This window comes from Homo sapiens, chromosome 13, assembly GCF_000001405.40.
Source record: "Homo sapiens chromosome 13, GRCh38.p14 Primary Assembly".
Taxonomy (NCBI): domain Eukaryota; kingdom Metazoa; phylum Chordata; class Mammalia; order Primates; family Hominidae; genus Homo; species Homo sapiens.
The window spans coordinates 39,307,059-39,322,473 of record NC_000013.11 but is presented as its reverse complement, the minus strand read 5'-3'; the positions used below and the strand labels follow the sequence as shown (position 1 = coordinate 39,322,473).

The 15,415-nt window shown below is 39.5% G+C and overlaps 1 long non-coding RNA gene across 1 annotated transcript in view; it reads left to right on the top strand.

Moving 5' to 3' along the window:
* Positions 1-14,688, top strand: part of LOC107984580 (uncharacterized) — a 29,934-nt gene extending 15,246 nt beyond the window's left edge. Inside the window, exon 2 of the long non-coding RNA XR_001749845.1 lies at positions 8,674-14,688. This is a non-coding gene — a long non-coding RNA (uncharacterized LOC107984580). The remainder of the gene's footprint in view (positions 1-8,673) is intronic.
* Positions 14,689-15,415: the final 727 nt, after the last annotated feature.

The following is a 15,415-nucleotide window of genomic DNA, read 5'->3' as shown; positions in this document are numbered from 1 at the left end:
TTATTTAGAAAGTGTGGGAATGCTATCTAAAGGAGCTGTCACTTGAGCTTTGTTTCTGTTAAAGAAAAAGCAGCAACTGAATTGAGCACTTTTCAGTCTTTATTACAATCATGTACACACACACACACACACACACACACACATACACACAGCCAGTAAAGAAATAGACTCCTCTAGAATCTTAGAATAGGATTTTAGACAGAACAAGAAAAAAAATTGTTTACCAAAACCCAAGACTGAATGCTTAGCCACGATACTTAACAAATTGCCTCAGTCTTTGTAAAGTTCAGCTCTTTAGGACCCAACTTTGGGGCAGTTAAGTACATACATATTCATTGCTGTAGTATTTTTCTTGTTGTTGTTGTCATGTTTTTTTGGGGGAAAATTGTTAGACTTGTAAAGATTTGGTACAGATTTTGGTTAACTTACTATTGGTAACATATATAGCAGGTATTACGTGCAAATTCTTTCTCAATCAGAAGAAATGGATATTCATCAAATTCTTTCTTAGTAATAAAATATGGATAGATATCTCAGCAGAGTGGTAAAAGAGGGTACTCCAGGAAACAGGGAAAGCATCAGCAAAGGAATAGTCAGTTCTGATGGAGAATTGGAAATGGTTCATTACAGTGAGAGAGTGGGCCCAGAGGGAATGAGGCTATGAGTGGTGCAAGGGCCAAATCTGCCGCTTAACTCCTGATGGCAGGCATGTTTATGAACACAGCCAGGATTGCTTAACTGGTGAGTTGCTTAATTCCTGATCCCTTTTGTTTCTTTCTTCTCTTTGGGCACTTCCACTATATTTATGTTTATGCATGGAATGATGTCCTACATTTCAGTAAGGCTGTTTATTTTATTTAATTTTTTCCCTCTCTTCTAAGTACATAATTTCTACTGATCTTTCTTCAAGTTTGCTGATTCTTTCTTCTGCCAACTCACATATACTGTTCAGCCTCTCAAGTGAATTTTTCATTTTGCTTTTTGTATTTTTGAGCTGCAGATTTTTCCTGTGGTTCTTTTTTTAAATAGTAATTACTACCTGCGTTAGACTAGATTCTTCAGAAAAATAGAACCAATAGGGTATGTATAGGTATATAGAAAGATTTATTATGAGGGATTGGCACATATGATTATGGAGGCTGAGAAGTCTCACAATCTACCCTGTGCAAGCTGAAGACCTTGGGAAGCTTGTGGGGTAGTTCCAGTCCAAACCTGAGGCCTGATAACTGGGTAGGTGCTGGTGGTATAAGTCTTAGTCCTGGTCCAAAGATCTGGGAGCCCAGCTGACATCTGAAAGCAGGAGAAGACGGATTTCCCAAATCTAGCAGAAAGACCAAATTTATCCTTTCTCTAGCTCCTTGTTCTTTTCAGGCCCTCAGTGGATTGGATATTGCCCACTCATATGGTGAGCATGATCTTTACTCGCTCTACTGATTCAAATGCTAACCTCTCCCAGAAGACCACACCCAGAAATAGTGTTTTGCCAGCTGTCTGGGTATCAGCCCAGTGAAAGTAACACATACAATTAAGCATCATATTATCTCTATTAATATTCTCTATATGGTGAATTATTATTGTTATGTCTTCCTTTGATTCTTTAAACATGATTTCCTTTATTTATTAGAACATTTTGATAATAGCTGCTTTGAAATCTTTGTGTGCTAATTCCAAACTGGCTCCTTTTGAAGGCAGTGATTTTTACCTGCCTTTTTTTTTTCTCATGAATAGGTTATACTTTTCTGTTTCTTTACAGGTCTCAAAATTTTTATTAGAAATTGAGCATCTTAGATAACATATTATTATAGCCATTTTGAATGTTATTCCCCTTCCCATTTCTGAGAACTTAGTATTTTTTCTTTTAGTGTGGTTACTTATTTATCAGGTGGGGCTGGAGTAATTCTGTGGAGTCAATTTACCCCACATTGTGCAGCCTCCAATGTCTTGCTCGGATATTTTCTCCAGGACCTTTTGTCCTGGCTTCCTGGGGGTTCCATATGGGTCTGCATAAATCAGATATTGGTGGAAGATTATGATTAAGCTCGTATCCAGTTATATTCTCATCCTGTTTTCACAAATTACTTACGTGTGTGGCTTGCAGATTACCCTCACATTTTGGGGAGTTTACCATTTTGCCCATGTTCATCCAGGGGCTACAAGCTTGGAGATATTCTCTCCAGTCCCTCCTTACAGGACATGGTGTTGGACATGTGGACAGACTTCCAGTCCCCCAGGGATGATAATGGTTTCATTTTTAAGCCAAGGCTTCTAGGACATACCCCTGGGTCAGAGTAGCTTATTTTTAGCCAGTATTTGGTCAGAAGTTGTGCTAAGCCCTTTGATCCAGTAAGACTAAAAGAATCTTTGCAGGTAGATTGGTGCATGGCTTGGGAACCCTTCTGAGGCTGCCCCACATCCTGCTTCAGTTGTTTCTGAGAGGGTGCAGCGTAGAGCATGCGCACAGCCTTCTAGATGCCCAAGGATAACATTGGTCATGGAAGGGCTCTTCTTGGCTGACTTCTTCACTCTTTCTCTCTGTTATTTTTTGGCTGTTCTGCCCTTTTGCTCTTTGCTACTAGTATCTTGGAACTACCAGCCCCCTCTTCATTACTTGTCACCACTACTGCCATTGTTTTTGACAATATCTTTAGGCATGAACTGCTCCATGCTCTGTTCCAAAGTTGTTTGCCTCAGGCAGAGCTGTGGAGTTCTCTATTCTTACAACCTGCTCCTTCCCCTGGGAGAGCCTCAGAGCCATTATACCAGAGCTAGGGATAAAATCCCACTTCTCCCAGAATGGCACCCACTCTAAAGCAGGGCTGAGTGGATGGTTGCCTTTTACTTTCTTGGCTGCTTCACTGGTGTGGAACCTCCTCCCTATGAGCAAGCTGTAGTAGAGACAGTCAGTGCTTTCAGCTTGCTGCACCCGGGCCAGAGCTCTCACCCTCTGAATGTGAGCTGGGTGGGAGAAGGGATCCCCATTTCCATTGGCCATGCCTGCTCAAAACAGTGCTTCCACAATGTGAGACTGTAGAGAATGAGAGATGTTAGTGGCCTATCCCTTCCAGGGTGAAATTATAGTCCTAGAGTAGAAGCTGGGGAGAGAAGGAGACCCCAGCTTTTCGCCTGTGCCCACCTGGAGTAGTTCTTCCACCTCATGGAGCTGGAGTTGGGGTGGGGTGATGGGAACAGCCATCACTCAAATGCCAGAGACTCAATCGTTTGCATCAAGATTTAGTAAAACTCGACTAAATCTTTTTCCATTTGCTGCATACTCCTATGAAAACATCTGGAGTTGTAAAGTGGTTTTTTTGTTTGTTTTCTTTTTCTATCCTTTCACCAGTTAAATGCTTTCTTTGCTGGGAAAAGCATTCACCTAGATCCTCACATTGCCATTCATTCCCCATGTCCCTTCTCCTATTAGGCCATTTATAAAGTTTTGAAATCTGGGGCTGTGTTAATTGCCACCCAGCAAGCAGGCTGTCAGTTTTGCAAAAGCATCAAAGAAATGCCATTGTTATTGTTAATGGAAATGATTTTAAAATGATAAATCCATATCAGTTAAATGGATAACATCTTACCAAGTTATTATATTGAGCATGGTGGTGATAACATCAGCTACAAGTCAGACTCAGCATCTGGTATTTTTTTTTTTTTTCTGAAACGGAGTCTTGCTCTGTCACCCAGGCTGGAGTGCAGTGGCACGATCTCGCCTCACTGCAACCTCCACCTCCCAGGTTCAAGTGATTCTCCTGCCTCAGCCTCCTAAGTAGCTGGGATTACAGGCATGCGCCACCACACCTGGCTAATTTTTGTAGTTGCAGTAGAGACGGGGTTTCACCATTTTGGTCAGGCTGGTCTTGAACTCCTGACCTCATGATCCACCCGCCTCGGCCTCCCAAAGTGCTGGGATTACAGGCATGAGCCACTGCGCACAGTCTGTTATGTTTCTTTTCAAAATTATTATTATTTTTTTTTTTTGCTAAATTAGAAACTTCTAAGTAAAAAAGAATGCAAGTGGTTGCTGGCTCTGTTGAGTAGATTTCAGGGGAAGGCAAGAGCTCAGAATTTCTGGGGAGATTTCTCTCTGAAGATGACTTCTGGCACTCTGTCAGGTGTAAAGCCAGCAGGATTAGGAGGGTTTCAGCATGGGATAAAGAAGCTTATGGTTTCCTAATCTACTCTCTTATTACATTCTACTCTGGAAAATAATTTTTTCCCATTTTTATTGCCTCATGTGGAGATGGTTTTAAAATGTAACTGACTAATATGAAGTCTACTAATTCTCTGGTTGAGTGAAGAACTTCACAGACTTTTTGGAGAAAGGAAAACTCTCAGGAATTAGTCTATCATATTTTGACTTTCTTATAAAATCCTGATATTACAGCATCAGCAGTAACATCTTGAAATTTCACCTCTGAAGTGACAGCTTTAGGCTATCTAGAGTTCATGTTCTATTGTTGAGCTATGACACATGAGCAAGTTTCATTGAATCGTAGAAATGGTTTTTGGCAGCCTTGTAAGTGTCAGGGTGAGCTGATTTTGTAATAACTTTAACTTCAATAGCTGAGGTGAGCATCTTCTTGATGGTCAGAAAACCTCAGAGTGTAAAAGCAGATATATATTGCCAATTTATTTGCAGAATATGCTGAAAATGAATGTATTCTGTCGGCTCAATTTGTCTGCATCACAATTGTTCCTCTCACCATACCACTGAATTAAGATGAGGAGTCATTTGTTGACTGCTAACTGTTGCCCATGAGTAGAGTGCTCACGGGATGATGGTGTCAGAGACCCTTCCTTATAGAGCCCTTAGCTCAAGCTTTGTCAGTACTGAAATCAACACATTGTTTTTCAGTCTACACCACCATAAAATAATCCTTAACTTTAAAAAGTTCTTTTTTCAAAAACATGGTTTCAGTGCCAAATAGGTCAAAGCATCCTCCAGTCCATCAATTCCGTGCACACAGTGCACAAGTGCCAAGAGCTGACTCATACAGCACAACACTGCAGTTCACTTCTGATGCTAACTACCCAGTGTTAGTGCAGACTGCACGGGTTCAGGACAGATCCCCAACAGGACTGTGCTTGTGTCGGATGCTAGCTGTAAGTCTGGGAATCCTCAGGCCTCCTGCACTTCTGACCAACTGGCTACAAATTTGGGAGTTTCCATAACCCCCTCAAATTTGAAAATTGGCTAGAAAAACTCACAAAACTCAGGAAAATGCCATACTTACAATTACAATTTATTATAAAGAATACAAATTAGGACCAGCCAAAAGAAGAGGCATAGAGGACAAGATCTGGGATAGTCCTGAATGTGGGGTTTCTCTGTTCTCTTCCCACGGAATTAGGCTGCATAACCCTCCAAGCATATAAACCTGTTCACCAATTGGCAAACTCAACTGAGCTTCAGTGTTTAAAACGAAATGTTACTGGGGTTTCAATACATGGGCATGATTGACTGAATCATTAGTCAGGTGACTGAACTTAATCTCTAGCCCTCCAGCCCTTCCCAGGAGGTAGGTCTGATATCACATGGCTGCTCAAAGCCCCAGCCCTCTCATGGCATAGTTGGCCTTTCCAGCATGGGCTAGCCTCCATTCTGAAACTATCTAAAGGTCCATTATAAATTGCCTTGTTAGCATAACCTCATAAGGAGCCTACTATGAATAGCAAAGGTACTCCTATTACTCAGAAAATTCCAAGTGTTTAGAAGCTCCATCCCAGGAACCTAGGTCAAAGATCAGACAAATTCATATACAACATGCAACTTCATCCAGCAGTGTGTGTATTCATCATTGCCTTCCTGCTGGTATGCTGTTTATAATTTGTAGTCTCCATGGCTCCACTTGATAAAAAGCCTTTGCCAATATCTTACTAAGCTATTTCTCTGAGCCCAAGATTATTATCATTTAAAAACATAGAGGAAATCTTCTTGATACTGGTCTAGGCAAAGATTTTTTTTTAATATGACCTCAAAAGCACTTGACAACAAAAGTAAAAATAAACTAATGGGATTGCATTAAGCTAAAGAACTTATGCACAGCAAAGGAAATAACCAACAAAGTGAAGAGACAACCTATGGAATGGAAAGAAATGAACCATATATCTAGTAAGGGATTAATATGTAAAATATAATATAAGAAACACAACTCAATAGCGAGAAAACAAATTACCTGATTAAAAAATGGGCAAAGGACCCGAATAGATATTTCTCAAAATAAGACATACAATCGGCCAACAGCTTTATGAAAAAATACAACATCACTAATCATCAGGGAAGTGCAATTAGTGAGATGTCATCTCATACCTGTTGGGCTGCCTATAATCAAAGCAAAAAATAAAAAAATGTTGGTGAGGATATGGAGAAAAGAGAACCCTTGTACATTGTTGGTGAGAATGTCAATTAGTACAGTCACAAAACAGTATGGAAGTTCCTCAAAAAATTAAAAATAGAACTATGATCCAGCAATTCTATTTTGGGTATATATTTAAAGGAAATGAAATCAGTGTGGTGAAGTACCTGCACTTCCACATTCACTCGAGCACTATTTACAATAGCCAAGATCTGGAATCAATCTAAGTGTTCATTAACAGATGATTGGATTAAGAGGATGTGATATATATATATATATATCTGATATATATATATATCTGATATATATATATCTGATATATATATATGATATATATATATATCTGATATATATATATCTGATATATATATATGATATATATATATATCACCAGATATATATCTGATAAAATACTATTCAGCCTTAAAAACAGGGTAAATCCTGTAATTTGCAATGAATGGATGAGCATGGAGGACATTATGCTATATAAAATAAGCCAGACAAATACTGTATGATCTCACTTATATGTGGAATCTAAAAGAGTCAACCTCACAGAAGAAGAGAGTAGAATGGTAAATACCAGCACCTAGCGGGGCAGGGGTTGAGGGTGATGTTGGTCAAAGAATACAAAATTTCAGGTACATAGATGGAATAAGTTCAAGAGTTCTATTGTATGACATGGTGACTATAGTTAATAACAATGTGCTGTATACTGAAAAACTGCTAAGATAATAATTCTTTTTCTCACTACAAAAAAGTTAAGTACTTGAGGTAAAACATAAGTAAATTAGTTTGATTTTGTCATTGCATAATGCGCACATATAGCAAAACATGCTTTACAAAATAAATATATATATATAATTTTTGTCAACCAAAAAAGGAAAATATCTTTAAATAATTGTTTCATTCCTCCTTTCATATTACTTTGAATTCAATAAACTATTGTGCTGAAAATAAATTTTAAAAAATCCTTTGTACCTGTGTATGCCCAAAAATGCGACTCCAAGGTTGGCTTCTCTGAATTTGGACTCTTCTTTATTTTTAATAATTGCTAATACTTATTGAGTATTTATTATTTCCCAGGCATTCATTTCAGCACTTTACATGCATTTTACCCTCATAACAACTCTGTAAGATCAGACACTTAATAGTACCCCTGGACAAAAAAGGTAAGTGGGGCAAAGATACATTATATCCAAAGTAACTTAAAGTGACAAAGCTGGTAAGGGACAGAGGTCAGATATACACATAGGATGTTCAGTTTCAAAGCCTGTGCCCTAACCTATCAGACCATGCCACTTGTAGCAACAAAAGCATCAGTTTTGCACTGAAAAGTTCTGGAGAAACTCAGTTGGTTCACCATAAAAGCAACTGTTCTTTGTTTGAAAAATGATGCAAAAATATCAATGATTGTAATGCCCTAATATGACATTAAAAAAAAAACACATCAAGGATTCAGGTCAATCCAATAAAATCAAATTTTCCAATGTTTGTCATTCATTGGATTCTTGTGAAAAATCTTCACTTGTAAATTCACTATCCTAACACGTGCAGAGACAAACTCTTTATTTACGTTGGAGACCTCTTCACTATTTATTATGAAGTTAGTCTAAGTTACACGACTGTTTCTATTTTCATGACTATTTTTACACCTTAATAAAGGATTTTGTTTTTTTTTTTGAGATGGAGTCTCGTTCTCTTGCCCAGGCTGGAGTGCAGTGGTGCGATCCTGGCTCACTGCAGTCTCCGTCTCCTGGGTTCAAGCAATTCTCCTGCCTCAGCCTCCCAAGTAGCTGGGACTACAGGCATGCACCATCACACCTGGCTAATTTTTGAATTTTTTGTATAGACAGGGTTTCGCCATGTTGGCCAGGCTGGTCTTGAACTCCTGGCCTCAGGTCATCCACCCGCCTCGGCCTCCCAAAGTGCTGGGATTACAGGTGTGAGCCACTATGCCTGGCCAATAAAGGACTTCTGAATCACTGACACATTAAAAAAATTATAATTGTAGCAATAAAAGTTCAAGTTTAAGAACATTGAGAAAACGTTTAAATGATGTAAAAATACATTAATCAATAAATCATCTCCTGTCTGTGAAATGGGGTAGTAACCTAAGTGGACTGTGTGAGTCCTCTGCAGTACTAACCTATGTAAAGTGCCTGAGTGAATGGAACAGAACCCCAGAGACACACGGAGCTGGAATCTTCATTGCCGGTGGGCAGGTACTGACAGGCCTGCTGGAACGCTTTGATTAGACTCCTTCATTCTTGCTGTAATCATTTCTTATTCTGAAAAAGTTGTGTTTCTCTTGTGGCAGGGATTTTTACTTCGGTTTTTGCAGCTACCAGGAGGAGAAATGTCAGTCTGCCTAGTCCGACAAGGAAGAGTGAAGTTTTTGCCTAGAGATCTCATTAACGGAGAACAGACAGGATACAACATCAAGAGCGAAAGGGCAAAGTAATGAGAGAGTACTGTGTACTTTTTCCTGTTTTTATCGTATACGACACTGATACAACCTATTTTATTTATACTCATTTATTGTCCTAAAACTTGGCATGTCTTTGAAAAGTGATGAGGTGTTCTTTATTCACATATTTTATAAACCTATCCCACAATTATGAAAGGAGGTAGAAGAGATATTTAAATTAATTTGGTCGCTATTCTTTATTACTTTTAATTTCTCCTAAAACTCAGCAAGCTGACTTTGAAGGGACCTTAGTGAAAAACATTTTTTAATTAAAAAAATTCACATCCAGAACTTTTGTGCTCAGCTGCCTTGATCCTAGCGGTTCTGATAGCTGCAAGTTCTTATTCAGAAATTCAGCCCTACAGATCCCCCAGGGCTACAAGACAACAAGCAAAAACAGACTTCAGCTCTTGAAACTGTGTAATGAAGCCCATTCCAAGGGCTTCTCATAGATTTTCCAAATATATTTAGTTAATGCACAAACATACACACACACACACACCCCTACTCCTTTGAACTAAAAACATTTAAAGCCAGCAGTTCGCTTATTTCTGAAATGTAAACCTCCTTTTGAATTTGTTTTTGGTCTAGCTCATGATAAGGTATGCTGTGTAATTAACTGAGTGATTTGCTTTAAGATTTGGGTGGGGTTCAGGTGCTGCACAGCAAAGGTTGGGATTTTTATGCAGCCCTCACGTGGCCTGGAGCTCTTGGCAACACATTGTCTTTGGCCTCTGACTTGCCCCTCTTCCTTATAAGCTACTTTGTTTTCTATGAGGGTTTCTGCTTCTTTCTTGCTTCCTTCCTGGGCGTCTGCAGATATTTCTCCATCTCAGAGAACCAAAGCCCCACCTTCATTTATTCAGCATTCTCCACTTCCCATCACTTGCACAGGATTAGAGATATCAACTGCAGGCCACCACCTACCACCTGTGTTGACTTAAACAAATTACTTAATCTCTCTCCTCTTTCATTTTTTTGTCTGTAAAATGGGAATAATGCTATTCCTCACATATTATAGTTGATTAAATGAGGTAATAAGTGTAAACTTCTCAGCACAAAGTCTAGTACACATTAATGGCTAGTAGCTTTTATTTACAGTACCCAGAAAAGCAAGAGGCCTATTTTTTTTTAAGTGTATGAAGATGTCTCCTGATGCTGCTTAATAGGACAGATGTCAGTAAGCCAACCTCAGTCATTTGCTGGGCTTGGGGGCAAGACTACAAATGTGCACCCACTCCTGCTATCTTTCCTCCTTCCACGGAGTCGCTCATTTTAAGGAGCCTCATTCATACGAGTGTGTGATATCCTAGTCTGCACATTGAAGTTGTGTCCAAGCCCACCCCCTTCCTGTTCTGCAGACAGCTGCTCCTTGGCTACACCTTAGTTCTAAAGATGGGCCCTCCAGAGGACACACCCAGGGCAGAGCCTCTTGTGGACCTGGCCATGGCTTGAGCCCTTGCATTGGGAACCCATGATCTCGGGTCCCTGGAGTGTGGTATAGAAGAGGAGAGTGGCCTGGACTTAGTACCTTGGAATTCTTTTTCATGGAGAGTCACGGCAAGTGGGTGGCCAGAGCCGAGTCCATAGGACGGACCTTGAATGTCTGGTGCTAATCATGTTTGCTGGTAGAAAGAACCAAGCTTTGGAGAGGGAGGCTTCTCCATGCTCTGTCACTCTAGCCAGCCCGAGGCCCTTGTGTCCTGTTCAGTCACCATGATGCCAAACCTGTGAGTGTAGGAACCTGCTCGTCTCACAGAGGCCCTGACAGCTACCAGGAAGCCAAAGGGCGTCCTTTTTGGATCAACCCCAAGGAATGCAAATTCCTGCAGAGCTCAGTGCTTGATATTACAGTGACTGTGCCCCCTTTCCTCGGCTCCCTCACCAGCTGCAGCACAGACTGTTCTCCTCCTCCCCTTTTCTGTGGTTTCTTTTCCTTGGCATTTGCTGGGTGGACATAGAAGTAATACTGGGAGGAACTCAAATACCAGGGATCTGAGAAGAATCTTAGGTACAGTTGGACAGAAAGGGATGTGTTTGCTGTTAGTAACATCAACTCTAGAAATCCCAGTGAGGAAATCCTTAAGGCCAGCACTGTCCCACTTCCTGCAGAATTGAGTTTATAACCCATCAGCTCCTTTACAATGTATGATTATGTCTACATTAGCAACTCTCCTTTTATTGCTGAGAGTTGCAGCACCTGTATGTTCTGCATATTGCTGCAAAGGATTTGGGCTGAAGTGTTAACAACTTTAGCTCTTTAAGAAATAGTTTGGTAAGAAAAACAGTTATGAGGAATAATTCAATAGCCAAATACACAATAAAGATGAAGCATATGTGGTAGATAGTAAATCTTCCCCAGCAAAGGAAATCAGTGCCTTCAAGTACAAGTTGTCATTTAGAATTTGGAATCCGAACAGCAATACCATCCCATGAGTACAAAGTATTGAGTGCTAGAAATAGAAGCTTTGCTTCCCTCTCTCCTGAGCAGAAATATTTTGCTCTGCTGTCCCCAATAATCCCCAGATTCCATGTGCACGGCCTAACTGACTGACACAGCCAAAGGCTTCAGAACCGGGTGAGTCTGGTCAAGAATTCTTGTGTACAAGGTTATGCACAGAACAAGAGAAGGGACCTCTTTCAGCGCTTTTGTGTTCTGTTTTTTTTTCTAAAAAAAAAAAAAAGATAAATCTGACTGACATTCCAACTAGTGGGCCATAAACATGAGTTTCTTATGATATTAACGGGGATTTCTATGGATTGAATGTTTGTGTCCACCCCCCTCAAATTTGTATGTTGAAATTGAATCTGTAATGTAATGGTATTTGGAGATGGGGTCTTCGGGAAATGATTGGTTTATGAGGGTGGAGCCCTCATGAAGGGAATTAATGCCCCTATAAAAGGGAGCCCAGAGAGTTCTCTCATTCTCTTTTCATCATGTGAGTCAATGGTGTGCAACCTGTAAGAAAACCCTCACCAGAACCCAACTATGCTGGCACCCTGATCTTGGACTTCCAGCCTCCAGAATCAGGAGAAATCAATTTCTGTTTCTGAGCCACCCACATTATGTTACTTTGTGGTAACAGTCTGAACCAAGAGGCATGATATAAACAGTGCTCTGCAGTTTAAAAGTTTGAGAAATGTTAAACTAAAAATTAATCTAAGAATGTTTGTTTTAACTGCAGGATATCTCAGAGCGTTTATTACACTCGAGTGCTATATTATTTGAAATGAGACTGTAAAATATGTTTTCTCAAAATAGAATGTACTGTAGAAATTACTCATATAGGTCACTTTTTACGCCTTTGTCTTTTTTCCTATCTTCTTTCCAGATAAATATTTTAAATATCTAAGTTTAGAAATGATATTTAAGACATGATAACTTAAAATGTTCCATGGGGGTGGACAAGTTGATTCATAAGTGTTGAATTCCAATATTACCCAAATCGTCCATCTAAGGGGGAAAACAGGAAAATATTCTGCCAAGTTTCTCATGGAAAATCAGATGTAGGGGAGCAATTTCTGGCATTGGAATATTCCTTGGCATCTGTGTGGTTTAGGTACCACATAACTTCACAGTCCCAGCAGGGACCACCCGGAGTTGAAATCTCCAGGCCTCATAGTAAGTCTGCCCCTGACAGCACTCCTTCAATTCTCAGGATCTCCTCTAAGAGACAAGGGGCTGAAATATGGGGGAAATGGCAGTAAAGCATTTAGGAAAACATTCTCGTTCTTCCACAGTACTTATATTATTTATCCTTTTTCTTTTCTTTTCCTTTCTTCATTTAGTTCCACAGATGAACCAGTGGCCCCAGAAGCATCAACTAACTTTGTGACATTTGAAGGTTGTTTGCTTTCCTTAATTCAATTGACTTTCATCCTTACTGAGGTAGTGGGTTTGACTCAAGGGAGAGGAAGCACTGAGAAATAAGCTTTACACTTAAACAAAGATGCTGGGAACTTCCATGTGCATTTCCTTACATTTAAAAGATGGAAGCTATTTTGGACACATCGTTTAGCTGTAAGGAGAGCATTATCATGGAATCTATAAACATGGTGATCATAGTTTCCAAATCTCAAATTGGGACACATTCCCTGGCTAGAGGATTGTTATTCTTTCCGTGAGGTGACTTACTCTTTATGAGGTGTACATTAATTTCATTTAGCTAGTCAGTAATGGAAGTGCCTTGGTTAGAGAAAATAGAATTTCATAAAATCATAAGTGTACCAGAAAATCTAACATAGTGCTCAATGTATGTGATTCAGTTCACACAATGTTTAGCTTGCAAAATCATCCCTAAGAATATTTTTGGTGCCTTTTGTACTGTTTTAAAGGATGAATTCTTTGTATTTCTCTTGTGAACCAAGGCTTAGTCTGCTCTACCACGTTTTTTTAAAGGAGGCTTTTATCACTCAATTTACATCAGTGAGTGAAGCTGCAAGATATTTTTCCTCTTTCGGAACTGCGTTTTTCCACCCTGAGATATTACACATAAGGCTCTAGAGTGTGACTATGCCTCAGGGTCGTGGGACTTTCATTGTCAACCCAATCATTCCAAAACTCAAATCTCTGAGTTTCCTGTGTTATTTAATAACATTTTCAATTAGGCTGCATCTATCAAGGTCTGGTTTGCGTTTAGGTAAATAGGTGAGCATAAATGCACACTTCCTATCTAGGATGGATGGGAGAGTGTACGCCATGGAATATTCCCTATCAGGTTCCCATATTTGGGTAAGAGTTGGCTTGGAGTTGAAACACAATAGGGTAGTTGGACCTGAAGAAATATAAGAAAGTTGGCAAAGCAGATCTGTGGGTCACCTCACTCTCCCTCTTCTGGATTCACCTTATCCAGAGTAAAACCTGGGCTATAAATCCCTAAAAATTGTACCACCACAAGAAATTTTCTTTTTCCTTGCTTTTAAAATGACTATGAGCTCACTTCTTTAAGCCTTTCCATTTTTACTTTGCTAAGGGAAGGTGCTGAGTCTGACAATTTGGGAACTTTGAGTTTCTACTATACTTCTTCCTAAACTCATAACAGAATGCTTATCAGAGAATTTCAGCAGGACCAGATTTATCCAAAACATTCTCTTACTGGGAAAGACCAGAGACTCTGATGTCTTATCCAGTGGAGTGCTGGTAAATGTTTAACAATATAGCCACCATGATTGATTTAGTCTCCAGTGTGTCATCACTGGAGAAAGAGTTGGGAAGGAGCTGGCTTCAGCATCACTGAGTTTATGCCCCTAGGACATTGGTCTCCAAATTTTAGTATGAATCACTATTACTATTATTAAAAGTAGAAAAGTTGATTCAGAATCTCTGGGGCTGAGGCCAGAGCATTTAGCAAGTTTCTCCAGGTGATCCTGATCCAGTAGTTTGAGTTCTTGTTCCCATGTTTATTCCCATACAAGGCCAGTCTTGAATAAACAGCATTGCCATTCCAGATCAAGGACTCTAAATACTTTTTCATACCATGAAATTCACTAGGCTATAATTAAAATAGACTAAATTTACTAAGACATAATTAAAATGGATTCTAATGTTCAAGCTGAATGATCACAGTATTCACTTTTATATAATAGTCTATATTCAGTTCATTACTTCTCATTATCCTGAATGTAAAATGTGCTATGGAAAGTCAAATTCCATATATTTTAGGAATTAGACAAAATCTTTATGGAGCACATAGCTCATCTTAGAGTTGTAAGAAATATTTGTATCCGATTTTTTTTTGTAAAAAAAAAAAACAAGATTCACAGGACAGCCTTCTTTGCTTCCCATCAATTTTCTTCCAATAGGTTTGTGCCAAATGTGTTGTGAACTTAATGATTTGTTTATGACAATAAAATTTGATAAATATATACTAATTTTCTCTGAAAAAATATTTGGGTGATTTTTAAAAGGCTTTGTGCAATTAGTTTATTCTTCTTCAGTGTTGAATGTGTTTCATTGGAGATGATTTTACTGCTTCAGACCTAATCTTTTCCCAAGATCTGCATTCACTCCACAAATATCTACCAAGACATACTCCATATTCAAAGGAGTTTACAATCTAACTGGAGTTTTAAGGATTCCTTCCATTAACAATTGGAGAAGAAAACGGGAGGTGTTTGACATTATGGCTGGTATCGATTGTTGCATGCGTTTTCCAGGTCGTTTGGTGGGGGAGACAAACGTAAATAATTACCAGAGTGTGACAAATACTGGGAGACAGTGACTAAAATTTCCCTGACGATTCAGGGCAGCTTCACAAAGGAGGTGACGGTGACGTGAGCTGAGACCTAAGGATAATTAGGAGTTGGGGAGGTTGAAGCACAGGGGGCTTTTCAGGAAGAGGAATGACACCAGGCACCTGGCTGAAGAAGAGAGATTTTCAAATTGCTCATTTGAATAGCAAATATTCGCCTCTGTACACAGAACTGTGCCTGGCACCTGGGGGAAGGAGAGGGGATGGCACAGCCCCTTAACTCAAGGTATTTATATGCCACTTGGATGCCTCTAAGACTTGCATATATTAGAGAAGGAGAGGGGCAATAGCATAGCCGGATACCGTGGAGCACTACAGATAGTAAGTAATGTGGAATATTG